The sequence below is a fragment of the Homo sapiens genome, chromosome 1, assembly GCF_000001405.40.
Source record: "Homo sapiens chromosome 1, GRCh38.p14 Primary Assembly".
In the NCBI taxonomy this organism is placed as follows: domain Eukaryota; kingdom Metazoa; phylum Chordata; class Mammalia; order Primates; family Hominidae; genus Homo; species Homo sapiens.
Window position 1 is genome coordinate 210,857,851 of NC_000001.11, and position 27,812 is coordinate 210,885,662.

A 27,812-nucleotide genomic window follows, 5' to 3' on the forward strand; every position below is an offset into this window, starting at 1 on the left:
TTTGCTGGCTTGTTTTTGCAGTGGTATCAATAGTGGTTTCTGGAGGGAACCACATGCCTTTAGCCTATCTAGTTAAGATCAGATACCACAATCAACAAGAGGGGTAGAAGGGATGAGGAAGGGGGAGTGGGTGAGTGTTAAATTTCAATTTTTTAAGTATGCATTTTGTACTCTTTCTAGGTATAGGATTAAAAACAGGCCAATGAGGAAAAATTGTCACAATTGTTATAAATTGTTTATATTGTTACAAAACTGAAATCAAATCAAGACATAATAGCTGAATTAAGTTCTTTTAATAGATTGCATATATGGGTGTTTAGCCATACTCTTAGATCAACTCTTTCACAGTAGAACTTCATATCCAGTTAACATGCTCTAGATACCACCTTTCTTATTTTTTATAGTAAGGTCTGGTATTTAAATACTCACTTCTACACTGACAGCTTTAAGAAAAACAGGACACAGAGGGAGTTGTCATTTTTAGCAGCAATGAAATACCACTAACCCATTTTTACATACTGAATTCAAGTCCCTGTCAGAAGTGAGTGGACCACGAAGTCACCAGGTACAAAATTGCTAGTTCATTTTTAAATTAATAACTTGAAATTATCCTTGCCCCCCACTCCATTACATCTTTTTATAAACAGCAAACATTTTGCTATTTTATGCATAGGCTAGCAGGCTTGTTTCAATATGAAAGTGCTAACTCATTTACAGAGTTTTATAATCAGTTATGTAGTGCTACAATAAATGTCCAATAATCTACATAGGAACAATGAAGAATAAAAATGATGAAGATTGAATAAGGCTATCAGATTACCTTATCTTATTCGCATATAAAGAATAGATACCCAATGGTGAGGAAGAGACAGAAATTGGACAAATTCTCACAGGTTTAAAAATTACATCTACCTTTGAGCTTTATACTGTAAATGAGACATTTTAAATAGTCCTGTAGCCCATGCCTATTTTTTCCTCAGAAAAAGAAAAGCTGCCTTCATGACATCCCCTTTTGTTTTCAGATTTCCACAGTGTCACTTTGAAGCTTCAGAGTCAGGATCTTACTTTCTTCAAAAAATAAAGAAAATACACCCCCTAAGGTACCTCCAATCCCCCCCACCCCCAAAATCCCACTGGTTTCTTTTCCAGTGCCAGGTTGCATGATCAGGTCCCATCTCCTGGGGTTGTTGTTGTTGTGATTTTTTTTCTGTCCATCTACTGATCATTAGTTTAGAATAGATAACATGAACCAGTTCTAGAACCACTACTAGGAGGAACACAAGCTCTTCACTACAATCACACAGTAGGAAAGAAAGAGATAACTCAATTCATCCCTGGTACTGGGCCTCCAAAATTGAAAGAACTTGGCACAACTGGAGCACTGAATTTGTATCCTCCATGCTTCTCAATCATTTTGGATTCATGAGCTGCTCTTCTTTGATTGGCCAGAGTTACTGTGTCTGTAACTGTTTTCTTTGTTCTTCATTAAGACCATGAGTCAGACCCTGATCCCACACAGGATTATGATTTCGAATGGTTTGAAAGATAGCTTTAAATACCTGATACTCATCAACAGGGTTATCTTCATCATCAATGATTGTGGAATAGCCTTCCAGAGCAGTCTCTTCAGCATCACCTTCTTCCCAATCTTCATCATCTCCATCTTCACCTGCCTGCTTAGCCAGAATCTCCAAATATTCTTTCCCATCTTCATCAATATCATCTTCATCACTCCCCAGTTCCTCGGTTTCATCATCATATTCAGCTTCATCATCATCACTGTCATTCTTGTGTTCTGCATGGCAGGCATATGCTCTTTTTAATCCATTAAATAAAAGGATAAAAGCTGGCAAAATCTGTCCAGAAACCTGATTTAAACCTTGGGGTATCTGTTCCATATCAATAAGAGCACAGAGACTGAGAACACACATCCTTCTGTCATGAAGCCCCAAGAAACAGTCAACATCATTAAGCCACTAATAAAATGATTTGTAACTGGTTCAACATTATTAGGGAAGTGAAGATTTTCTAAGGTATTTAGTAATAGGTATGCATTATAATGTAAAGCTGCAATTGCAACTTGCATACCCATAGTTCAAAGTTCACTTGTCTTAACCTCTCTTGGCAGTCTTTCTAAGGCTGCTTCCACGAATAAGGGAATGCACTGGTCAACGTGACGCCCTTTGCACTGCAGAACGATGACCTCTAACAATTTTGCCGTATGACACGCTGCATCTTCTCCTGCAACTACTGGAAGAATCTTTTGTGCACATACTGTATATCATTTCAAGATACTTGGTATCAGACAGAAGTGTCTTGGTATCAACTGTTACATAATTATAAAGGAGGGGCATCATATCTGTAAAGTAATCAAAGCCATCTTGCTGAAAGACTTCAAATACAAGGGGTAGTAGCTGCCACATCTGTGGAGACACTTGTTGACATGTCAGGCTATGCGCTAAAGAGATGTCCTCATAGAATTCTGAGACATGCTGTTGTAAAACAGTACCAATGACCTGTAAGCAGATTCCCTCAAGCTGTTGGGTTATCTCTTTATGATCTTCAACTACACTAAGAAGTGTGTCAATTGTATTCAGAATTCCCATAGCAGTAACTGCTTTGTCATCACTACCTTCTTCATCTGGCCCTGTCTGGATTACTTGGCTAAATGTCATTGCCAACTGTTGTGTCATTTCTACTGCAATAGGAGTAACTTCTTCACTATTTTCACAGATCATTTTCTGAATTACATTGGTAAGGTCATCATTTTCTGTTTCTGTTATAATATGAAGAAGAGCCTGCATTACAGGTCTGATAAATGCTGTGATACATTCTTTAGATTTTTCTTGATTGCTGATAAATACTTGAAGGACAATGGCAGCTTCCACTTTCACAGGCATGTCTCTGTCATCAATCAGACATCTTCTTGTTAGCTCTAAAGCTGTTTGAATGTTCTGATCACTTTTGAACTTTACTTCACAAAAATAGTGAAGTACTCAGCAAGCCCTTGCTCTCATGTAGCCTAGTTCACTGCTGAAGAGAGAGAACACATGATTCTGCAACATGTATTCCATCTGATCATTACAGATCTTTTTCTTCAGAAGTGTTTCAGCTAAAGAGCCAATCATGCAGGGCTCCATCTTTTTTTCAAAGGTCAGCATTGGGTTCTGTAAGAATCTGGTAACAAAATCCCATAGTCTTTTGAAGTACCTCCTTCCTCTTACTATGGGCTGTAAACAAAAGCTTCTGGGCAGCAGTGGCAAAGGAAATGAAATCTTCAGACACATCAAACTTCATGCGTATATACTCGTAAGGGTCTTCTTCCCAAAGTTCCTCATCAGCATCTGTATAACACATCAATGGAAAAATAACATCTTGGATAATGCCTTGTATATGGGGCTTCAGATTCTTCCAGGTGAGAGCATGAGAAACTCCTTGATTAATAGAATTTAATGTCTGTTGTAAAACTTGAGGAGCCATATATTGCTTCTCGTTGTACTGTTATAACACTTTCAATAAAACTTGCTGGACACCAACAACAAATTCCTTCAGAAATACTTGAGCAAATTCATTATACTCCTAGGAAACACTGCCAGAGCTTCCATATCTTTCAAAAAGTCTTGCTAAAATATGTAAGGCCCACTTCTTGCATTTCCATTATGATAACTCAGGTCGGTCATCTTCTTCAATTCGAAGTGTTTCAGTCTTTAAAATTTCTACCCATTCTGTCAGGTTCTGTTGGTTTATCAGTTCCAGTGGTATAGAGTATAGAGTATATACTGAACAAGAGCATAGAGTATATACTGAACAAGATCATAGAAGATCTTGAATATTTGTTTCTGGATGACGACAGACTGATCAGACTGGTCAGAAAGAAGCTGGATAAAATGATCCTTTAGAACTGACAGAAAATGCTGCATTGCTGCTACCAATGGACTCCACTCCTCTAGTTTTTTATACTCATAAGTTTTCACAAGCTGATAAAGGCAAATAATTCCTATCCAACAAGCACTGTTATCACACTGAAGATAAAAGCCAGTTTTGTCCACAATGGCAGTCCAGCAGCTTGGATAATCACGTTTGGTGATGTGATGAATGCATGTAGTAAGCTGTACCCTGATGAGCTCAGGAGGATGGATAATGGCTTCTACAATATTTTCTCAAATACAATGGCAATCTTCTTCTGGAATAGTATAAGGGGATATATACTTTTGTGCTGTTTCTTGACCAGGCCAATACTGTGTTATATTTTTCAAATAGATAACACCTGCCTGTCTCACAGGTAAATCCAGCTGTTCCGACATAGTAATCTGGAGCAGCGTTGAGACAAAATTCAGAGATTTGTGTGCTTCATTGAGCTGGCGCTCCATGGCCTCTTGCAGGGCTGGGTCCATGGTGCCCCGCAGGGCCTCGATAATGGTGTTGGGGTCCATTGCAGCATGAACTAGGTCAAACCCAGGGCTTGAGTGCTACTGGGCCAGGAATAGCACTACTCACTGCACACATGGACCTGCCGCAGCGGCAACTGGCGCAAAAGGGCAATGGTGCAATCTTAACTCACTGTAACCTTGAACTCCTGGGCTCAAGTGATCCTCCCACCTCAGCCTCCCAAGTAGCTGGGACTGCAGGCTCACGCTACCATGCCAAGCTGATTTTGTGTTGTTGTAGAGATAGGGTCTCACTATGTTGCCCAGGCTGGTCTTGAACTCCTGGTCTTAAGCAATCATCCTGCATCAGCCTCCCAAAGTGCTGGATTTACAAGCCTGAGTCACCATGCCTGGCCAATATTTTCAATAGTTAGAGGCAGGATTGAAAAACAATTCCTTTTTGCTTTGCTCAAAATAAGTATTTATGAGCATCCACTTACGAGTTACTGTGCTAGATGCTGGACATACAAATAGAAATAAGACCCAGTTACTGCTGTTGTGGAAAGGGCAACATTAGAGAAATGTTCAGGAAATGGAGGAAAGGCCCTTATCTCAGCTTAAGGAAGCCTTAACTCACTATTGTTTGGCTGAATCTCAAAAATGTACAAACCAATAGGAGTGTCCCCTTCTTCCCTACAGATTCCCTGAAGCCAGTGGGCTGTCTGGCAGGAAAACCAAATACTAACTGTGATTTGCCCATTCTAGAAGGTAAGAGAAGGGATTCAGGGCATGCGTGTAAAGTTAGGCTTTGATGACTTGTGTTAGAAGGTTCAGGAAGAAAGCCGCATCACTTATCCCCTATGGAAAAAAAGGAATGGCCAAGAGAACTTCCTTGAATCCATGAAGAGCTTCCAAAAAGAGAAATTTTAAGTTTAGGGATGATAAGGAGCAGAAAGGCTTGGTCTGCTTTACCTGGTGAGCCTATCAATGCACCCACCAAGCACATGCTTGTTACCCAGCAGAGTGTTGGGCACTAGGGGGTGGAGGAGGATAGAATCTAAGATTACTTTTAGCTCTGAAAATCTCAAGACCATCTAAGTTAGGCTCTTCATTTTACAAAAGACAAAGTGCAGACCCAGAAAAGGCCTTATCCAAAATCACATTACTAGCTCTTGAGTACAAGATTACTAGCAGGCTGCAATCTGGGAAGATGGCTGAAGTGGACTTGACATCATATTAAACTCCAGCATCAGTACTTTGGGCAACATGTAGTCACCAGAGGTCTCTGAGCTGGTGACCAGCTTAGTTAAAACCACTTTCCCCCTTGATAATAGTAAATGCCATTTCCAGTTAAGTTACAGATGACAGATTTTATGGAATGTTTCCACCTTAATGTGCGAGATCTGAATGGTACCTCCATCACTGACATTACATTTTGTTTCTCAACCCTCCTCTTCACAGCTCTTATTAGGAAATCGGGGAAAGTCAGGTGCTGAGGCCCAAAGGAGCTGTGCCTTGCTGGTGTTCCCTCATGAAAGGCTGCAGCCAGAACTGTGTCCTTCCTTCTCAATGCAGGTCTCTATGCTAAACTTGTTCACCCTCTGTTCCAGAGCTTTAGGTGCTCCACACGAAGTACTCTTGAACTCTGTCAACCCTGACCTCTCCCCTGTCATGTAGAAAGGCCTCAAGTGGTAGTTTTTGGAGCTCCCGATCATACAAGCACATGCACCCTTCTCAGGAGAGGGCAATTAGGAAACCTGCTGCTAACTAGAGGTGCCATGGCAGGTGCCAACTGGATCAGTGCAGGATGGAACAGCACATTCCAGACAGCCTCATGAGTTCATTGCTAAGGGTAGAGCTAATTTACAGGAAACATGCAGAGGGTTTGACTGGATCCCCTCTGATACCAGCTGAGCCCAGCTCTCACATGCCTATGGCATGGAGTGGATGGTGCTGGGGCAGGCTTCTCTCAGCCTGACAGCAGAGTAGCTGTCTCCACTATTGAGCCAGGTGTGACCCCAGAATGCCATCTCTACCCCCTCAGCATGGTAGCAATGCCACGGCAGTGAGGATGTGGGGAATGAGGAGCAGCTTAGGAGAGACTAAGGCATTGCAGGACTGAGGTCCACTATGCAGCTCCAGGTCCCCCTACTATGCTCCTTCAAGAACAGTGTTGGTAGTAAGAGATTATCACCAAGTTCCTCTCAACTCAGCAAAACAAGTGGGGAAGCGAGAAAACAAAGGAGGAGGAAGATAGCTTCCTGTGCTGTGAGGACTAATTGCAAGCAAAATATGTGTCAGCTGCCACTGCTCACAGTAAACACTCAACGGATGGTAACCCTAAGGGTTTGGGCTGCAGCTTTAGTGCCCAAATCCTACCTCTATGGAGGGAGTGAGACACTTGGACAACAACAATCAAGGCAGGTGGAGAAAATTCTGGTTTTGCTTGTCCCAAAACAAATCACCTCACCCATAGCAGTGTAAGACAACTAGCATTTTACTATGTTCACAGATTCTGAGCACGAGAAATTTAGAAAAGGCCCAGCAGGATGGCTTGTCTCTCTTTCTTATACCTGGAGCCTCAGCCGGAAAGATTCAAAGACTGGGATGACTTAGTTGGAATCATCTATGAGCCAGTTCATTCACATAACTGGTGGTTGACCCATGCTGTCAGCTAGAACCTGAAGCTGTAAGCTGGAACACCTATACATGGCCCTTCCATGTGGCTCTTTGAATTTCTTTACAGAATGGTAGCTGGGTTCTAAGAGCAGGTGTCCCAAACAAATCACACAGAATCTGTATGACCTTTGATGACTTAGCCTATCACTATAATGTGACTTCTGCCATAGCCACAAGGCTTTCCAGGTTCAAGGGTAGAGAACAAGTATCAAAGGCAAATTTTTAGAAGAACATGTGGAATGGAAGGTAATGTTAAAGCTATCTCTGGAATATACAATCTGCTTCATTTGTCAAGCTAAACATATGCCCCCATAGTCTCCCAATGCAGAGATATTATGTACAATGTCTGGAACAAATATTTTCATATGACAGCTCATTAATTCAGTCCTTACAATAATACTGCAAGGTAATTTATTATTACTCCACGTTTTACCTGAAACTGAGCTCAAAAAGTTTAGATAACTTGACCAAGGTCATATAGTTTTTAAGCACCAAAGCAGTATCAAATCCAGATCTAAATCTGTTAACTACTTGTTAAAACTCAAAGCTCATAGTCTTTAGAGAACATTTTGGGTCAAACTAAATGATCTTGGTTCTAGGGCAGTAGGAATAAGGTAGCAAAGAAAAAAAAAAGGCAGCTGTTCATTTGATGCCTAAATGTTCACAGTGTACACACAATGCTGAAGCTACGCTTTGTAACTCTTAAGTGTTATTTCTTTTGCTAATAAATGCATTTTATGTAAGGAAAGACTTTGAAAAACAGTATCTCCAGATAGAATGGAAGCTGGGCCACCTTGCTAGGCTCTCCTACACCCCAATCGCATTTTCCAAAGTAGGGAGAAAGGTACAGTTCAGAACCTCTGTTTTTCAAACTGGAATAAGGCCTCTCTCTTACTTTTCCCCCAACTCTTTAAGACAGACAGTTTTTATTTTGAAACTTGGCCTAGATTGTGGGGCAAAGCACAACCAAATGAAATGGGTGAATTCCCATTTTGATCCTTATTGTCATTCTCCATCTCAGGTAGCTGATGGATCCAGGCTAAATGTGGGTCAAAAAGTATGTTATAGATCAGCTTTAGTTGAAAAAAAATGTGTATACACCAATACAACTCAATGGGGGAATAAAAACTTTTTCAACAAATAGTGTTAAGACAACTGGATATCTGCATGCAAGTGAATGAAGTTGGACCCCTACCTCACACCATACACAAAATTTAACTCAAAATGGATGATAGTCTTAATTGTAAGAACTAATGCTCTAAAACTCTTAGATGAAAATATAGGGGCAAATCTTTATGACCCTGAGTTAGGCAAAGCCTTTTTAATTGTGACACCAAAAGTACAGTCTACAGAAGAAAACTAGAAAAAATGGACTATATGAAAACCTAAACTTTTGTACTGCAAAAGATACCATCAAGCTAGTAAAAAATGCAACCCACAGACTCGCAGAAAATATTTGCAAATAAAATACCTTATAAGAGATTTGTATCCAGAATATATTACAAAAAACTCATAACTCAATAGTGAAAAAATAACCCAATTAAAAATAGGCAAAGAATCTAAATAGACATTTCTCCAAAGAAGATATAGAAATGGCCAATAAGCACATGAAAAGATGTTCAACATCCCTAGTCATACGGGAAATGCAAATCAAAATCACAATGAGACATCACTTTACACCCATTAAAATGGCCATAATCAAAACGACAAGTGTTGGTGATGATGTAGAGACATTAGAACACTGAAATTGTTGGAAGAATGTAAAGTGGTGCAGATGCTTTGGAAAACAGTTTAGCAGTTCCTCAAGATGTTAAATGTGGAGTTACCAGATGACTCAGCAATTCCACTCCTAAGTCTATACCCAAAAAAGGCAGAAACAAATGTCCATATGAAAACTTGTACATGAATGCTCATAATGTTCATAGGAACATTGTTCATAATGGCCAAAAATGTGAAAACAGCCCATATACCCATCAACTGATGAACAGATGAATTAGATGTGGTATAGCCATACAATAAATTATTATTCAGTAATAAAAAGGAATGAAATACTGATAAATGCTACAAAATATTAGAACCTTGAAAATGTTATTCCAAGTGAAATAAGCCAGTCACAAAAGACCACATATTGTACAATTCAATTTATATGAAGTGTCCAGAACAGGTAAATCTACATTTAGAGAAAGTAGATTAGTGGCTGCCTAGGGCTAGGAAATGTGAGGAGAAATGGAAAGTGACTGAAAATGGGTATGGGGTTTCTTTTGGGAGTTATGAAAATGTTCTGAAATTGATAGTGGTGATGGTTGCACAACTCAATAATATACTTAAAACTATTGAATTGTACATTTTAATTATGCAAATTGTATGGTAGGTGAGTTTTATTTCAATATTTATATCCACACACACCTACACATAGAATTATATGTATATGTTTACACACACACACACACACACACACACACACACATATATATATATATATGTGTCCAAAGCAAATTCATATTAAAGTGGGGGCAATGTCAAGTATAGAAAACCACCCACAGATACTCCTCTGCTTTAGCCTAACATGTGGCTGTGTGACCAAAGGTACTGTGAAAAGCAATTAGATGGTGTTTTCTGAAAAAAAATTTTATTGAGGTATAATTTACATGTGACAAAGTACTCCCATTTCAGTTCATAGTTTGATGTGTTTTCACAAATGTGACCACCATATAACCAACACATTCAAGATACAGAATATTTTTATTACCCCAAAAAGTCCCTTGTGCCCCTCTGTCTCAAAATGCCCAACCCTAGGCAACAATTGATCTACTTTATGTCATTTTAAGTAAGTTTTGCCCTTTTCTATAATTCCAGATAAATTAAATCCTACAGCATGTACTATTTGGGACCTGGACTTTTTTATAACTCAGGATAATATATTTGAGATTCAACCATGTGTCATGCATATCTCTAATACATTGCTTTTTTATTGCTGAGAGTATTCCCTTATATAAATAGACTAAAGTTTGTTTTGCACTCATCTGCTTAAGGACATTTGATATTTTTCCCTCATTTTAGTTATTATGAACACTGATATACAAGTTTTTGTGTGAACATATGTTTTCACTGCTCTTTGGTAAATGAACAGAAGTGGAAACACTAGGTCTTATAAGTGTATGCCTAACTTTATAAGAAACTGCCAACCTGATTTCCAAAATGTTAATACTATTCTACATACCCACAAGCAATATATGTAAGTCTTTTTAATTGTATTCATATAGTGGGTATCTCATGTAGTTTTCAATTGCCTTTCCTTGATGACTAATTAAATGGAACATCTTTTCATGTGCCTTTGGCCATTCATGTGTGCGTGTAAAGTGTCTGTCCAAATCTTTTGCCTATTTAAAAAATTTATTTTTAATTGAGTTGTATAAGTTTTTTTTAATACATTCTGGATTCAAACCTTTATCAGCTTAGTCTGTGGCTAAAAATTTCATTTTCTTAATGGTGTCTTTCTTAATAGTGCCTTTGATAAAGTCTAATGTATAATTTTTTCTTTTATGTTTCAAATGTTTTGTGTCGTAAGAAATCTTCGCATATGCCAATGTTGAAAAACTTCTAGTTTTACAGTTTTAATTTTTATGTTTCAGTATACTACCTATTTCAAGTTAATTTTTGAGTCTACAGTAAAGGGTTGAAGTTCATTTTTTGTATATGAATATCCAATTTTGTAGAACCATTTGTTGAAAGCCTATTTCCCCACTAAAATATCTTCTTAACAACATTTAATCACAAGATTCTTCATTTCCCTTTTATAGTCACACCCACTTCCTTCCAACTTTCCTTTAATCCTCTTCTCATTAACTCCTACCAACCACTAATCTGTTTTCCCTTTCTATAATTTGGTCATTTCAAGAATATTGACTATATGGAATCATAAAGTATATAACCTTTTGGGATTTGCTGTTTATTCTTTGCATTTATCCATGTATGATGTTTTTCCTTCATTTGTATAGATCTAAATTTCATTGATAGTATTTGCCTTGCATCTGAAGAACTTGCATTTTAAGTCAGCTGGTGAATAATTCTGTCAGCTTTTGTTTGCCTGAAAAAGTTTTTATTTCATATTTATTTTTGAATGGTATTTTTATTGGATATAGAATTCTAGGTTGACAGTTTGCTGTTTTTGTTACAGCTCTTTAAAGACGTCATGTCATTTTCTTCTGATTTAAAAGTTTCTGACAAGACATATGTGAGTATTGTTATCTTTGTTCCTCTGTATGTAATTTTTTTGTCAGCTCTTAAAATTTTCTCTTTATCAATTTTGTTCAGTAATTTGATCATGAACTCCTTTGGTGTGATTTTATTTTGTGTTTATCCTTCTTGGAGTTGTTGACCTGCTTGGATCTATGAGTTTATAATTTTCATAAAATATGAAAAGTTTTTAGCCACTACTTGTGATATTTTTTCTGCCCTTCATCCTTTCTGGGACTCCAGTGATATGCATATTTACAATAGCTGCTTAAAAGACCTTGTTTGTTAATTCTATTTTCTCTGTCATTTTAGGTCTATTTCTGTTAACTGATTTTTCTCCTAGTTATAAGTCGTGTGTGTGTGTGTGTGTGTGTGTGTGTGTGTGTGTGTGTGTGCTTTTAGGCATGCCTGGTAATTTTGGATTGGATGCTGGACATTGCGCCTTCATATTGTTGAATGCTGGATATTGTCCTCTTTAATGGATGTTGAACTGTGCTCTTACTGGCAGTTAACTTAATTACATATCAGCTTGATCCTTTTTTAGGCTTTATTAAAACTTTATTAAGTAGACTTTACTCTAGGGCTTATTTAGTCCTATAACTAAGCTGTGACTTATTTTGGAATGCCCTCAATATTAAGCAAGGACCCTAAATTTACCCTGGCTGGTCATAACTCAAACTTCTACCAGCCCTGTATTGCCTCTGGAAATATTCAACTTACAGATACCTGGTAGTTCTTTGCCTGGCTTGTGCAATTTCAGCCTACATATAGCAGTCAGCTGTAGTTACAAGAGGAATGCTATAAAGATCCTCAGCATTTTCTCTACTGAGCACATTCCAGCCACTCAGCCTCTTCAAATTCAAATTTTTGTCTTCTCAACTCTGTGATATCATGCTCTTCTTGAGTGTGTATTGTGGTCCAGAAAGTATCTCCAGGCAGAAAGTTGGTATTATCATAGGTCTTATCTCATTTGTTTCCTTTCTCTGAGGAGTCACAGAACTGTACTAATTACCAAAAGGAGTTTTTTTCATAGATTTTTGTCTGGTTTTCTAGTTGTTTACAGTAAGAGAATAAGTCCAACTCCATTCACTCTCTTGTGTCTGGAAGTAGAAATCACTGATATTATCTATGTTAATACAGTGAAAAAACATCCAGTGTTGTCCCTCTTTCCATCCTCACCCCCACACCTCCACCACTAATACTGTCTCAGTGATGTGCAATATCCAAGGCTTGATTTAGGTCTAATGAATATCTCTCAACACAGAACACTTTGGGTTTCCCAGCACAAGAATTGAAAAAAGCACATGGTACTCTCCCAGCTGAGATTCTTAGCCTCTTTTTTCCCCTACTGTGAGCAGTGTCACCCAGGTGCCCTCACTCATCTATTTTAAATACACTCACCATCTCTGCTAACAGCTTCAGCCTCTGTTAATCAGGTAGCTTTTCATTAATGTTCTTATCCTTGTCCCAGCATCTTATTTGTCATGCTTTATTAGTAGACATGATAAGTCATAAATCTTAGTTCCTCTTAGCTTCTTAGTATCTGTTGTCAAGTTGAAGATCCCAGACAGAGGGAGATGAGAACTGGTTCATTACAGAGTGACTCTTTCTAATATCTCCTTGGTTCTTTATGATACTAATACATTCTTCCCACTGCAGTTGCCTTTTTCTCTATTTAGCTCCAATACAATTCATAGAAATGAGATCATTCGGCTTAAGGGTACATTATCTTCACTTCAACCCATCCTTCTTTAAGATGAACAATGCTGCCTTTAGATTCTGATACTGGCTCTGCCACTTATTAGCTGGATAGCCCCAGACAATTTACTGACTCTGAGTTTGTTTCCATACTTATGGAATAGGGAAAATATATTCTGCATATCTCATGGAGTGGCAACAAAAGCCAAAATTGACAAATGGGATCTAATTAAACTAAAGAGCTTCTGCACAGCAAAAGAAACTACCATCAGAGTGAACAGGCAACCTACAGAATGGGAGAAAATCTTCACAACCTATTCATCTGACAAAGGGCTAATATCCAGAATCTACAATGAATGCAAACAAATTTACAAGACAAAAACAAACAACCCCATCAAAAAGTGGGCAAAGGACATGAACAGACACTTCTCTAAAGAAGACATTTATGCAGACAAAAAACACATGAAAAAATGCTCACCATCACTGGCCAACAGAGAAATGCAAATCAAAACCACAATGAGATACCATCTCACACCAGTTAGAATGGCAATCATTAAAAAGTCAGGAAACAACAACTGCTGGAGAGGATGTGGAGAAATAGGAACACTTTTACACTGTTGGTGGGACTGTAAACCAGTTCAACCATTGTGGAAGTCAGTGTGGCAATTCCTCAGGGATCTAGAACTAGAAATACCATTTGACCCAGCCACCCCATTACTGGGTATATACACAAAGGACTATAAATCATGCTGCTATAAAGACACATGCACACGTATGTTTATTGCGGCATTATTCACAATAGCAAAGACTTGGAACCAATCCAAATGTCCAACAAAGATAGACTGGATTAAGAAAATGTGGCACATATACACCATGGAATACTATGCAGCCATAAAAAAGGATGAGTTCATGTCCTTTGTAGGGACATGGATGAAACTGGAAATCATCATTCTCAGTAAACTATCGCAAGAACAAAAAACCAAACACCGCATATTCTCACTCATAGGTGGGAATTGAACAATGAGAACACATGGACACAGGAAGGGGAACATCACACTCTGGGGACTGTTGTGGGGTGGGGGGAGGGGGGAGGGATAGCATTGGGAGATATACCTAATGCTAGAGGACGAGTTAGTGGGTGCAGCGCACCAGCATGTCACATGTATACATATGTAACTAACCTGCACATTGTGCAGATGTACCCCAAAACTTAAAGTATAATAATAATAAATTAAAAAAAACAAAATATATACATAATATGATCTCGGCTATGGAAAAGAAAAACATTCAGTGGAAAAAAGCTTAAAGGGAAGAGCACCAAAAAAAAAAAAAAAAAAAGATCAAGCAAGATAATCGATGTTAAGTACTTTATATAGTGCCTGTACCATGGTAAATGCTTAATAATTGTTAGCTATGATGACAATAATGATGATTAAAATGGTCTTTCCATACACTCTGCATACCATCCCTCTGACTGACCTGATGATTATAATTATTCCCTAACTACTAGCAAAGAAGCTTCAATCTCCCTTCACTTCTGCTTTTAAACAGTTTTCTCCTATTTTACAAAAAAGAGTGTGTCCTTTTCTTCCCTTTTCCAGCTCTTCATAAACACAGTGTATTAGTCCATTCCTTCATTGCTATAAATAAATACCTGAGACTGGGTAATTTATAAAGAAAAGAGGTTTAATTGTCTCATGGTTCTGCAGGCTGTACAGAAAGCACGATGCTGACATCTGCTCAGCTTCTGGGGAGTCCTCAGGAAACTTACAATCATGGCAAAAGGTAAAGGGGGAGCAAGGTGTCTTACATGGTAGAGTAGGAGCAAGAGAGAGAGTGGGGAGGTGCTACACACTTATAAACGACCAGATCTCATGATAACTCACTCACTCACTATCATGAGAACAGCACTGAGCAGATGATGCTACGCCATTCATAAGAACTCTGCCCCCATGATCCAATCACCTCCCACCAGGTCCCACCACCAATAGTGGGGATTATCATTAAACATTGGATTTGGGTGGGGACACAGATCCAAACCATATCACGTGGTTTTTCATTTCTGACTCTTCTACCCAATTTATTCTTAATTCCTTTCAATCAAGCTTTTATCCTCAATACTTTAATTTTCTGTACAAGTTACCAATCACCTGTGAGCCACATGAAATATTATTTTCAAAGTCCTACTATTCCTTTCAAGTCCTACTGGGCTTTCTGTAGCTTTTGACAGAATTGTCCATTTTCTCATTTTTCGCTACCATGACCACTGAACTATCATTTTTCATTTTCTACTGGTGGTAGATTAAATTACAGGTATTACTTCTTGCTTCCCCTAAGCAACATTATTCATTCCCATGCAATGGTCTTGTATGTAACAGAATCCCCTGCTTCTTGTCTTTCAACGTGACCATATGACTTTGAAAAATGAGATATTGGAAGGTGTATCATGAACAAAGATTTGAAATGTGCTTGAATAGTTGGAGTTTCCCTCTTTTAAAAAATTTTTATATTTCTAAATCTTTATTTATTTATTTTTTAGAGACATCTCACTCTGTTGTCCAGGCTGGCGTTCAGTAGGGCGATTATAGCTTACTGCAGCATTCAACTCCTGGGCTCAAGTGATTCTCTCTCCTCAGCCTACCATGTAGCTGGGACTACAGGTGCATGCCACTGTGCCCAGCTTATTTTTTTTTACTTTTTGTAGAGATGGAGAGGGTCTCACTGTGTTTGCCAGGCTTGAACTCCTGACCTCAGCCATCCTCCTAATTCAGCCATCCTCCTAACTCAGCCCCCCAAAGTTCTGGGATTACAGGCATGAGCCACCAGGCCCAGCCCTAGGGTTCCCATCTTATGCCCCTGATTCAAAGACATAAAAAGAAAAGAAAATACAAAAATAATATGTGAATCAAGAGAAATTACTCCAGATACAGTCAATAGTAAATAATCATAGGGAGATTTATGAAAATAAAAGACTTAAAGAATTTCAAAAAGTCAAACAGACCAATAATTACAATAGACAATGAGATAGTAGTGAAAAAATAGATAAATATAATTCAGTTAAGTGGAATTGAGAGGCTCTAATTCAGTTCTTAAAGCTTCTACATGATTCTAATATGCAGTCAAGTTTGAGTCACTGGTCTAACTTAGTTTTGATAGTTTTAGTCCAAGGCTGGGGATTAATTTAGCCCTGCGCACGTGACATAATTCTGGCCAATGAAGCACAAAGAAAAGTCTACTGAGGTTGGAGAATATAAGCTTCTTGGAAAAGTTTCTTCACTTTTAAAAGGAGTCAAAGAAAAAAAAAGTCTTCTACATCTGCTGGGCACTGTAGCAGCTGCATGTAGCCCTGGAAGTCTGGCAAAGGGCAATGCCCATGTGGAGGTGAAGGACAGGAAAGACAGAAGAAACCTGATGCTGTCTTTGAGTCACTAAATTAAACAGTGCTGAAGAAGCTGTACATTAAGACATCTCACAATGTAAGAGAATAAATTTTCCTGCTGTTTAAGACAATTCAAGTTAGATATTTCTATTACTTAGAGCTGAAAGCATCCTGATACTATGACTAAGCAGGACTTACCCTAGAAATATAAGAAGTGGCCAATATTAGAAAATCTGGCAAACATGCCATACTTTCTTCTGTATATACTCCAGAATAACTCTCTCAAAGGTCTCATGGAAACATGAACAGGGATATTCATCACAGCACTATTCACAAATAGTGAATACCAAGGCAAGAGAGGAAACCTAAGTCCACCACAAAGAATTCGATAAGTAAAATGTAGTAGTTTTGCACAGCACTGAATACTGTGCAGAACCATGTCAGGCACAATACAATAGATTTTTATATTTTTTCATCAATATATACACACATATTCATATACATATAGCAGCATACATACATATATATATCAGCATAGCTATAATGCCAAAGATCATAGTGTTTAATGAAAAAAAGGAAATATATTAATAGCACAATACCTTTTAAGTAAATTAAACTCATATACCCCTAACATATACACATAACCCAGTGCATATTTCTCAGGGTTACGTATATCTCCAAATACACAGACTGAAGGCAGAATGGTGGATTAAAGGGGTAAGAACAACAGCAAAGAAACAAACCAAGGTTGATAGTGTTCCACACACTCAGGAGTATGATTAATTCAATTTCCTACACTTGAAGGGAAGGAAGGAAGGAGGAAATGAAAAAGGAAGGCAAAAGAAGAGAAATGGATACCTATCAATGTAATTCACCACATTAAGAATTGAAATGAAACATATGATTCTTCTCAAGAAATACAGAAGCATTTGATAAAACTTTCATGAATTATTCTTAATAAACCAAGATTTAAAAAGCAATGCTTTAATCCGGAAAGAATATCTATCAGAAACCTAGAGTCAAAATTACCTTTAATAGTAAAATTTCAAAAGCTTTCCCATTAAAGTCAGGAACAAGCAAGAAAGCCTATATGACCACTGCTGTTGAATATTCCACTGAAGGTCCAAAAAATACAGTAGGAATGAAGAGTCATAATGATTAGAAAATGAGTTAAAATTCTAAGTGTAGGTTATATATTTGTCTATATAGGAAATGCAACTGAATCATGAGTAAAACTTATTAGAACTATTAGGAGGGTTTAGGAAACTTGCTGGTTATAAATCTATGCACAAAAATCAATAGCAATATTTTGGCTGGGCGCAGTGGCTCATGCCTGTAATCCCAGCACTTTGGGAGGCCAAGGCGGGCGGATCACTTGAGATCAGGAGTTTGAGAACAGCCTGACCAACATGGTGAACCCCATCTCTACTAAAAACACAAAAAATTAGCTGGGTGTGGTGGCGGGTGCCTGTAATCCCAGCTACTCGGGAAGCTGAGGTGGGAGGATCGCTTGAATCCAGGAGGTGGAGGTTGCAGTGAGCTGAGATCACACTACTGCACTCCAGCCTGGGCTACAGAGCAAGACACTTTCTCAAAAAAAAAAAAAAATAAATCAATAGCATTACTCTGAGAAGCAATAATCAATTAGAACATCTAATAAGAAAAAAACAGACCATTCATGATAGCAACAAACAATGTAAAACATCTAGGAATAAACAAAAATGTGCAGAGCATTTATGGAGAAAGTTATCAGGACTACATCACAGGAAATGTTTAAAAATTCCTGAATAAATGGAGAAATAAATCATTAACTATAAAACCCAATATTATTAAAATATTAATTCTTCCGAAATTGTGTTAAAAATTTGGGAAGGTTGCAAGCAAACGTCCAAGAGTTTTCAGAGCACTTAAACTTATTTGAAAATTCCAGCATAAGGACAGTAATATATGAATAATTAAGACAATTTTTAAAAGAACAGCAAAGAGAACTGACCCACCAGTTAAAATATATTAAATGTCTATATTAATTAAAACAGTAGATGTGGATTCAGTGATATACAAAGATTGGTAGATCAAAGAACCCTGGAAACATCTCTGTTTGGCATCTCAAATTTTACAATACCAAACCTGAATCCTTCCATCTACCTTCCTCCCATCCTACATCTACTTGTCTCTCTGCTTTCTCCATTTCAGTTGACAGCCACTCATTGGAATTTGCTTGTTTAACAGTAGGAAAATTTCTTCTTCCCATTTCCCTAGGATTCAATTCCTCACTCTGCCATAATGGGACAGGTTATGACATATTCCCTGAAATTATACTAGAGCCAGGGCTAACTAGGTCTATGGGAAAAATTGAAATATTTTAAATGCTCTTCTCCCTACATCTACAGAGGTCCCCTGAGGTTCTTCTATCTCTGTGGGGTCTCTGCTTTTATAAGCTTCTCTTGAGAGGCATTGAAAATGGGACAGCATTTAACATAAACAAGCTGAAGAGGAAACCAGTGCAATCCCTGTTCCTTCAAGGAGCCATAAAGCGATGAGTAGCACAAAGCGCTCAGCTCTGTATGGGGCAGTGAAGGACATCTAGTTTTCTCATGGAAACGCTTAGCACCCTTAGCGTCACTAAGTGCCAATATACCCCTCTAAGTGCATGGTCAAATGCAGGCATAATTTGTTCTGCCTCCAGAGGATTACAGTAAAAATTAACTCAAAATGGATTAAGTATACCAGATTGCCTTCTCCACCCTGCCTACCCAAGCATTTAACCTTACCGCTCAGCCTCAGAGATAACGAGCTCACAGGTACTTCTCTCTTGAGGGAGATCTAAGTCAATTTAGGATGACTTTAATCCTCTGAATTAAAAAAAAAAAAAAAGTCACCACAAAGCCTGAATCTCATAGTTCACCAATCAGGACAAACAATTTGTTTGCAAAAAATGCTACTTGCTTTTGCAGGTGGAAAACTACTTTCTAGAAATTTACTAATTATAGCTGTAGTTGATGTGGTCATTCATATGAGCAAGAAGAGAGAGAGAGGAATAGAGCAGGGACGTAAGTGGAAGGTGGAAGACTGGGCTGCAGGAGTCTGAAGCAGGACACTGACTGCCGTCTCACAGAAAGTCTCATAGGTGTATAAAACAGCAAGGAAAGTGGCTCTGAGTCTCAGCTGCCCTGAGGGAGGATGGATGATGCTGAAATCTCAGGAACTGGGCAGGTCATCAAAGCAGGTAGGGCAAAGAATCCATTTCCTTCACATTGAAGTCACACGATGCTCCATTTTCTACATTTGCATCAGGACCCATCTGCTTCATGAGCAACATTACTGACAATGATGGGACCCTCATCACTATCCAAAAGTTCCTCTCAAAATCTGCTCCCATTTTCACTGCACTATTCCATACAATTTATTCAATCCATTTATTTTGCAAATAACTGAACATGTCCTATATACATATCATGGTACAACCTTCTGAAGAAAATATAAAGATATCTATAGCCTGTGTACTCAGAGCTCCCCTAACACTGGAAATAAAAATTATTTAATTTTTTGTTTTCTACACTAGGTCATTAGCTCCAAATGGAAGGGACCTTGCCTATCTTGCTCATCATTGCATTTCCAGCATGATACCACCTGATACATAGGTGATAATGAATAAATTAATGATCTCTTTCCTTCTGTCATTAACAGTGTAAGTCAAACATAGATGCAAGAAATTGATTAAATGCATAAATAACAAAGTCACCTAACTCTCTTCCTGAATTATAAATCTGGTATATGAATTCAATATTATACTCATTTATGTGGGTTGGCCATATTTGAACTTATAAGTCTCCAGCTAAAAGAAATCATTTAGATATTGTTTTTTAAAAGGTGCCAAGTTGCATAATAAAGGGATCAATTCTCCAAGAAGACATAATAATCCTTAATAAGTATGCACCCAAAAACTGATAGGACTGCAAGGAGAAAAAGATGAATCTACTATTACTGTTAGAGATTTCAATACCCTTCTACAATAAATAGACAGACCCAGGAGGCAGAGAATCAGTAACGATACCATTGAACTCAAAAGCATCATTAGTCAACTAGATAAAATGGACATGTAGAGACTAATTTGCCCAAGAACAGCAGAATACACATTCTTCTCAAGCTCACATGGAACATTCACCAAGATAGAACACATTCTGGGCCACAAAAAACATCTTAACAAGTTTAAAAGAATACAAATGATGTAATGTCTGCTCTCAGATCACACAATAGAATTAAACTAGAAATCAACAGAAACATAGCTGGAAAATCTTGAAATACTTGGAGAATAAACATAACTCTAACACATGACTCAAAGAAGGAATCTCCAGAGAATTTCAAAAATACTTCAAACTAAATTTAAAAAAAACACATCAAAATTTGTGGGATGCAGCAAATACAGTGCATAGAGGAAAATTTATAGCATTCAGTACCTATATTAGAAAAGAAGAAAGATCTAAAATCAATCACCTAAGCTTCCACCTTAGGAAAGTATAAAAAGAAGAGCAAATTAAATGCAAAGTAAGCAGAAAAGAAAAGAAATTATAAAAAGTAGAGCAGAAATCAATAAAATTTAAAAATCAATAGAGAAAATCAACAAAGCCAAAAGCTGTTTTTTTGAAAATATCAATAAAATACATAAGCTTCTATCCAGGCTAATTCTAAAAAGGAGAGAGAGGACATAAATTACTAATATCAGAAATGAAGGTGAGTACATCACTACAGACCTCATGAACATTAAAAGGATAATAAAGGAATACTTTGAACAACTCTGTGCTCATAAATTTGATAATCTAGATGAAAATGACCAGTTCCTTGAAAGAAACAATATGCAAAGAAGAAATAAACAATCTGAAGTGGTCTGTATGTATTCAAAAATTGGATCAATAATTAATAACTTCCTAAAACAGAAAGCACCAGACACAGATAGGTCCACCAGTGAACTCTATCAAACATTTAAGAAATAAAATATAACAATTATCTATGATCGCTTTCAAAATATAGAAACAGAATACTTCCTAACTCATTCTAGGAGGCCAGGATTACACTAATGCCAAAACCTAACAAAGACATTACAGAAAAGTACACTTCTATATCTCTCATGAATAGAGACACAAAAATTCTCAACATATTAGCAAATTAAATCCAACAATGAATAAAAATAATTATACGGCAAAAACAAGTGGAATTCCAGATATGCAAGGCCAGTTCAACATTCAAAAATTAATTAATTAATGCAATCTGTTGCATCAACAAGCTAAAAATGAAAAATCACATGATTATATCAATAGATGCAGAAAAAAGCATATGACAAAATCCAATACTTATTTCTGATAAAAACTCTCAGTAAACTAGGAATACAGGGGAACCTCCTCAACCTGATAAAGAATATCTACAAAAAACCTAAAGCTAACAACATAGTTAATGGTGAGAAACTCAAAAATTTCCCACTAACATTAGGAACAAGGTAAGTATGTCTCTTCTCGCTACTGTTTTCCAATATACTGAAGGTCCTAGCTAATGCAATAAGATAAGGAAATACAAGGTATAAAGATTGGGAAGAAAGAAATAAATTTTTTTTGCAGATTACATAATTGTATATGCAGAAAATCTGAAAGAACTGACAAAAAAATCTTTTGGAATTAATAGATTATTATTGCAGAGTTGTAAGATATAAGGTTAATACATAAAAATTACTTTTCAATATGTCAGCAATGAACAGGTGGAATTTGAAATCAGAAGCGCAGTATCACTTACATTAGCACCCCTAAAAATGAAATACTTAGTTATAACTCAAACGAATGTGTTTAAGATCTATGTGAGGAAAACTACAAAACTCTTATGAAGGAAATTAAAGAAGAAAATAAATAGAGAGGCAGTCCATGTTCATGGTTAGGAAGGCTCAATATTGTCAAGATGTCAGTTCCTCCCAAATTGATCTGTAGATTTAATACAATTCCAATGAAAATTCCAAGTGAGTTATTCTGTGGACATCAACAAGCTGATTCTAAAGTTTATATGGAGAGGCAAAGGACCCAGAATAGCCAATATAACATTGAAGGAGAAGAACAAAACTAGAGGAGTGACACCATCCAGCTTCAAGACTTATTATTAAAAGCTACAGTAATCAACAATACAGTGTTGGTAAAAGAATAAACAAATAAATCCATGCAACAGAATAGAAAGCCCAGAAATAGACATACAAATATAGTTAATTGATCTTTAATAAAGGAGTAAAAGCAACAATGGAGAAAAGATAGTCTTTTCAACAAATGTTGCTCTGAAGACTGGATATCCACATGCAAAAACATGAATCTAGACACAGACCATACACCTCTGACAAAAATTAACTCAAAATAGATTAAAGACTTACACATAAAATACAACCATACAACTTTCAGAAGAAAACAGGAGAAAATCTAGATCATCTCGGGTTTGGTGATGACTGTTTAGTTGCCGCACCAAAGGCACAAGAAAAGAAATAACGGATAAGGTGGACCTCAGTAAAATTAAAATTTTCTCCTCTGTCAAAGACACTGTCAAGAGAATGAGAAGGCAAGCCACAAAATGGGGGAAAAAATTCCAAAAGACATGTTAGATAAAAGACTGTTTCCCGCAATAAATAAAGAACTCTAAAACTCAAAAATAAAAATAAAATCTGATTTTAAAATGGGCCATACTTAATAGAGACCTTATGAAGGACAATAAACAGATGGTAAGTAAGCATATAAAAAGATATTCCACATCATATACCATCAGGGAAATTCAAATTAAAACAGTAATATTTTTTTTTTTTTTTCTGGAAACAGAGTCTCACTCTGTCACCCAGGCTGGAGTGCAGTGGCGCAATCTCAGCTCACTGCAACCTCTGCCTCCCAGGTTCAAGCGATTCTCGTGCCTCAGCTTCCCAAGGCATGCTCCATCATTCCTGGCTAATTTTTGTATATTTTGTTGAGATGGGCTTTCACTACATTGCCCAGGCTGGTCTTGAGCCCCTGAGCTCAAGTAATCTGCCCACCTTGGCTTCCCAAAGTGCTGGGATTACAGGTGTGAGCCACCATGCCCAGCCAAAACAATAAGAAGACATCTTTACACACATATTAGAATGGCCCAAATCCAGAATACTAACTACATCAAATGTGGTAAGATTCTGGAACTATGGGAACTCTCATTCATTGCTGGTGGGAATGCAAAATGGTATAGCCACTTTGGAAGACAGTCTGGTGATTTGTTACAATATTAAACATACTCTTACTATACAATCCAGCAATCCTACTACTTGTTATGATTGGTATCATACTACTTACTCAAATGTATTGGAAACTTATGCCCACACAAAAACCTGCACATAGATATTTACAGTAGCTTTATTCATAATTGCCAAAACTTGGAAGCAACCAGGATGTCCTTCAGTAGATGAATGGATAAACTATCGTACATCCAGACAATGGAATATTATTCAGTACTAAAAAGAAATGAGTTATGAAGCCATGAAAAGACATAGAGGAAACTTAAATGTACATTGCTATGTGAAAGAAGCCAATATGAAAAGGTTACTTACTGTATGATTCTAACCATATGACATTCTAGAAAAGGCTAAACTACGGAGACAGAAAAAAGATCAAATGTTTCCTGGAGTTAGAAGGATGAGAGGGATGAATAGGCAGAGCACAGATTTTTAGGACAGTAAACTATTCTGTATGATCCTGTAATAGTGAATATGTGTCATTATACTTTTGACCAAACCCATAGAAGGTACAACACCAAGAGTGAACCCTAATGTAAACTATGGACTTTGAGTGACAATGATGTGTCAATGTAGTTTCATCAATTTTAACAAATATATCACTCAGGTGGGGGATATTGATAATGGTGGAGGCTGTGCATGGGTGGGGGTAAGAGATACATGAGAAATCTCTGTACCTTCCACTCAATTTTGCCATGAACCTAAAATCACTCTAAACAATAAAATTCTATTATAAAATTTTTAAAAAATTTAAAGAGGTGCCCAAAGTAAGTGGTTTTCACAGACACGTGTAGTCATGGGTACAGACACCAAGCAGGTAAGCAATATTCCTCAAATGGAGATTGAGCAAGGGTCATCCTCATCTGGGTGTGGGAGAAAAAAGTTAAATTCCCATCAAGGGAGGAGAGAATATCAGGATAGCTTCAGAGAAAGTCAGCTCTAGATAGAATCACCTTATCCCACCGCCATTGTATAACATCTAAACTCATTCCCCAGATTTCAGGATCAAAAATAGCCCTCGGAAATCAACAGTGCTCAGATAGACGGAGGCTTGCAGATGCCAGAACAGGCTCACATGACAAACCCACCTCCGCCCCCTTTACTTTAAAGTATGGAACTTTTAAGACTAGAAGAGGAACTTTCTGGTTCCTTTGCTATGAGTCAGAGATGCTTTTGGTGTACTTGTGAGCAGCCAGGAGGAGGAAGAAAGCACAAACATAAGGAGGATGAGGAGTAGGAGGGGAAAATCATTTTCTTTTCAGGCTGAATGTGCTCGCTGGAGGATTGCTGAGGTGTTTCTCTTTGTTTGGAAAGAAGAAATCGATGCTTGCATCTAAACTACATCCTAATTAGAAGCCACATCAGGCAAAATCTCTAAACCTTTTCAGCCCTGAGAAGCAAAAGCGTCATCACATTATCACTCTGCAAAATTGAATCATTAATACATAGTAAAAACATAAAAACTGTGAAAAAGACTGTGAAGTATGCAGCCACAGGAATGCATTACGGAAGAATGAGTAATAAGTTCCAGTAGCTGTGGTGGTGGTTATAATGAATAAATCCTACCCTAACAAATGAAGTCACCTGGTTCTCTTCCTAAATTACAAATCCAATAGACCAGAGACAAGTGCTAGGTATGATGGTGGGGGAGGGAGCATTTAGAAAAACTTCCAATCCAGAGGTCTAGGCTTTTGCAGAGAAATGAATGTAAATGAAGTCATAGGTGGAAAGCTCAGCACCTTAGAGCAGCAAATGTGTGCTAATGAAGGCAAAGGATGCCAACAGAGTTTTGCTTCTGATAGAGAAAAGCTCTTCTTTCCTGGCTAACATATGTGAGGCTAACCTAGTCTCCCTGTCTTAGGCATGTTGGCCCTTGATCACCAGAGGGACCAGAATGGATCTGGGGGTGGGGGAGTTTCTCTATGAACACATTCTTGGCACTAGAACAATAACACAAAGCATGTATCCTAACAATTGTTGGCCTTCTTCATAGACAAGGCACAATTTGCTTCATGTCCTGTTATGGGATGGCATGGGGATTCTAGAACCAGAGACTATGTTTAAATATTGACTCCACCATTTACTAGCTATGTGACCTTGAGCAGGTTGCTTAATCTCTTTGCATCCCAGCCAGCCTGGCTTAAAGTGCATATAAATTATATTTTATACTTCATAGTGTTATTGAGAGGATTAAGAAGAGTCATGCAAAAGGCTTTGTAATGTGTAAAGAAAGAGCTATACAAATTCACAGGATTGTGGTATTGTCTTGGACAGCCCATTTTCATTAACGCCAAGCAAGCTTGGTGGAGGTTGAACTGTCCAGGAAAAGAGACAGAATATCCATAGACTCAGAAATACAAGATGTTCAACAGAAATTTATTACACTGATAAATGACTGAACAAGATTCATCAAATGATTAAACTTGGATGGTGAAACCAAGGGCCTAGATTACATCTGGTCTGAGGCAAACCTCTTCCTCCCAGCCCATGCTCTGGACAATGATTCATCAGCCTCTCAGTTCTACAGACACTAACAGCTCTAATCCATGTCCCTGTACTTGGATGCCTATGTCAGATCTAGTGAGACGCATGCACAGAAAAAGAACTAGGGAGCAAAGAAAACATGGCAGAGAAATTGTTGCACCCATAGGCACGTGCATGCATAGAGCCATGGTCATTACCCTTTGAAAGGGACAGAGTTGTCAACATTCCTCACTCTAATGCCAAGAACAAACTAAGCCCCACCACAGGCATCTTTGGCTTCAATAGCATCAAGTCCAACAATGTGGTATCTACATCAAAGCAACCTCCTTCTCAAAAGAGCTTTGTTACTTGAGAGGATCCTCTCTTTCCTACACAACTAGCACCTGCAGCCTGTCTGGAGGTTTACAGAGCATTCCTGTATCTATTATCTTAGTGAGCCTGTGAGAATCCCATGAGGTAGGCAGATAAGTTCTTTTCAGCTCTATTTTATAGAGGAAGATCCCAAAGTTCAGAGAGCTTAAATGTCTTTACCCAAAGGCACATAATTTATAAGTCATGGAGCTAGGCCCTCAAACTCAGACCTGACTTCAGATCCTAGAATGATCTTTCCTCAACCTCAGGATTACTCCCCATGTACTTTTGGTGAGAGAAGAGCAGCAGCACCCAAGAAATTTGTCTGCCATCCTCCTTGCCTGTTCACTCTCCCCAGGCCTGGCCTGGAACCATACTTGCTTCAGAGAGGCAGTCACTCCCCTACCAAAGCCGTGCTGGAAGAGCTGCTAGATATCTCTCCACAAATTGCCCTGCTCTCTGCCAGACATTCATGCCAGTTTGTACCGCGATTCCTGAACTGATGGCTTAACGGCATATTCAGAAGACTGTCTTCCATCCCTTCTGGAGGAGACACCAGGCAGAGAGAAAGAAGTCAGTCAATGGCCTACTGTGAGTCAACTTTACCCTTCCAGGACCAACTCAGGGCTGAAGTTCACTTACAGAGCCTTAGGCAGTTACTCAAACTTCTGAAGGGTGATTTCTCAATTTAACTAAGTATCTGAAGCCACACTTTTCCTATTTGCCTTCAGTAGGCACTACCAGTGCACACAGATAAGGACTGAGGCCAAGAATAGAATCTGACCATAAACCCGTTATATCAGGATCTTCTTAAGATGGCTGAATAGGAACAACTCCGGTCTGCAGCAAGATCAACGCAGAAGGCGGGTGATTTCTGCTTTCCAACTGAGGTACCCGGCTCATCTCACTGTGACTGGTTAGACAGTGAGTGCAGCCCACGGAGGGTGAGCAGAAGCAGGGTGGGGCATCACCTCACCCAGGAAGCACAAGGGATAGGGAACTCCCTCCTGTAGCCAAGGGAAGCCCTGAGGGACTGTGCTGTGAGGAATAGTGCACTCTGGCCAAAATACTATGCTTTTCCCACAGTCTTCACAACCTGCAGACCAAGAGATTCCCTCAGGTGCCTATACCACCAGGGCCCTGGGTTTCAAGCACAAAACCGGGCTGCCATTTGGGCAGGAGTTTTTTTTTTCATACCCCAGTGGCACCTGGAACACCAGCGAGACAGAACCATTCACTCCCCTGGGAAGGGGGCTGAAGCCAGGGAGCCAAGTGGTCTAGTTCAGTGGATCCCACCTCAATGGACCCCAGCAAGCTAAGATCCACTGGCTTGAAATTCTTGCTGCCA

General features: G+C 38.2%; 1 protein-coding gene and 1 pseudogene across 5 annotated transcripts in view, besides 1 other annotated feature; both read right to left on the minus strand.

Moving 5' to 3' along the window:
- Positions 1-27,812, minus strand: part of KCNH1 (potassium voltage-gated channel subfamily H member 1) — a 455,835-nt gene that overhangs the window by 179,537 nt on the left and 248,486 nt on the right. The gene's annotated exons all lie outside the window — the stretch shown is intronic.
- Positions 1,327-4,433, minus strand: IPO8P1 (importin 8 pseudogene 1; annotated as a pseudogene).
- Positions 26,963-27,163: a silencer, noted in NCBI's record as "peak680 fragment used in MPRA reporter construct". NCBI's record gives its function as "represses an SCP1 promoter by STARR-seq MPRAs in K562 erythroleukemia cells {active_cell/tissue: K562}" and the evidence as "EXISTENCE:reporter gene assay evidence [ECO:0000049][PMID:32103011]".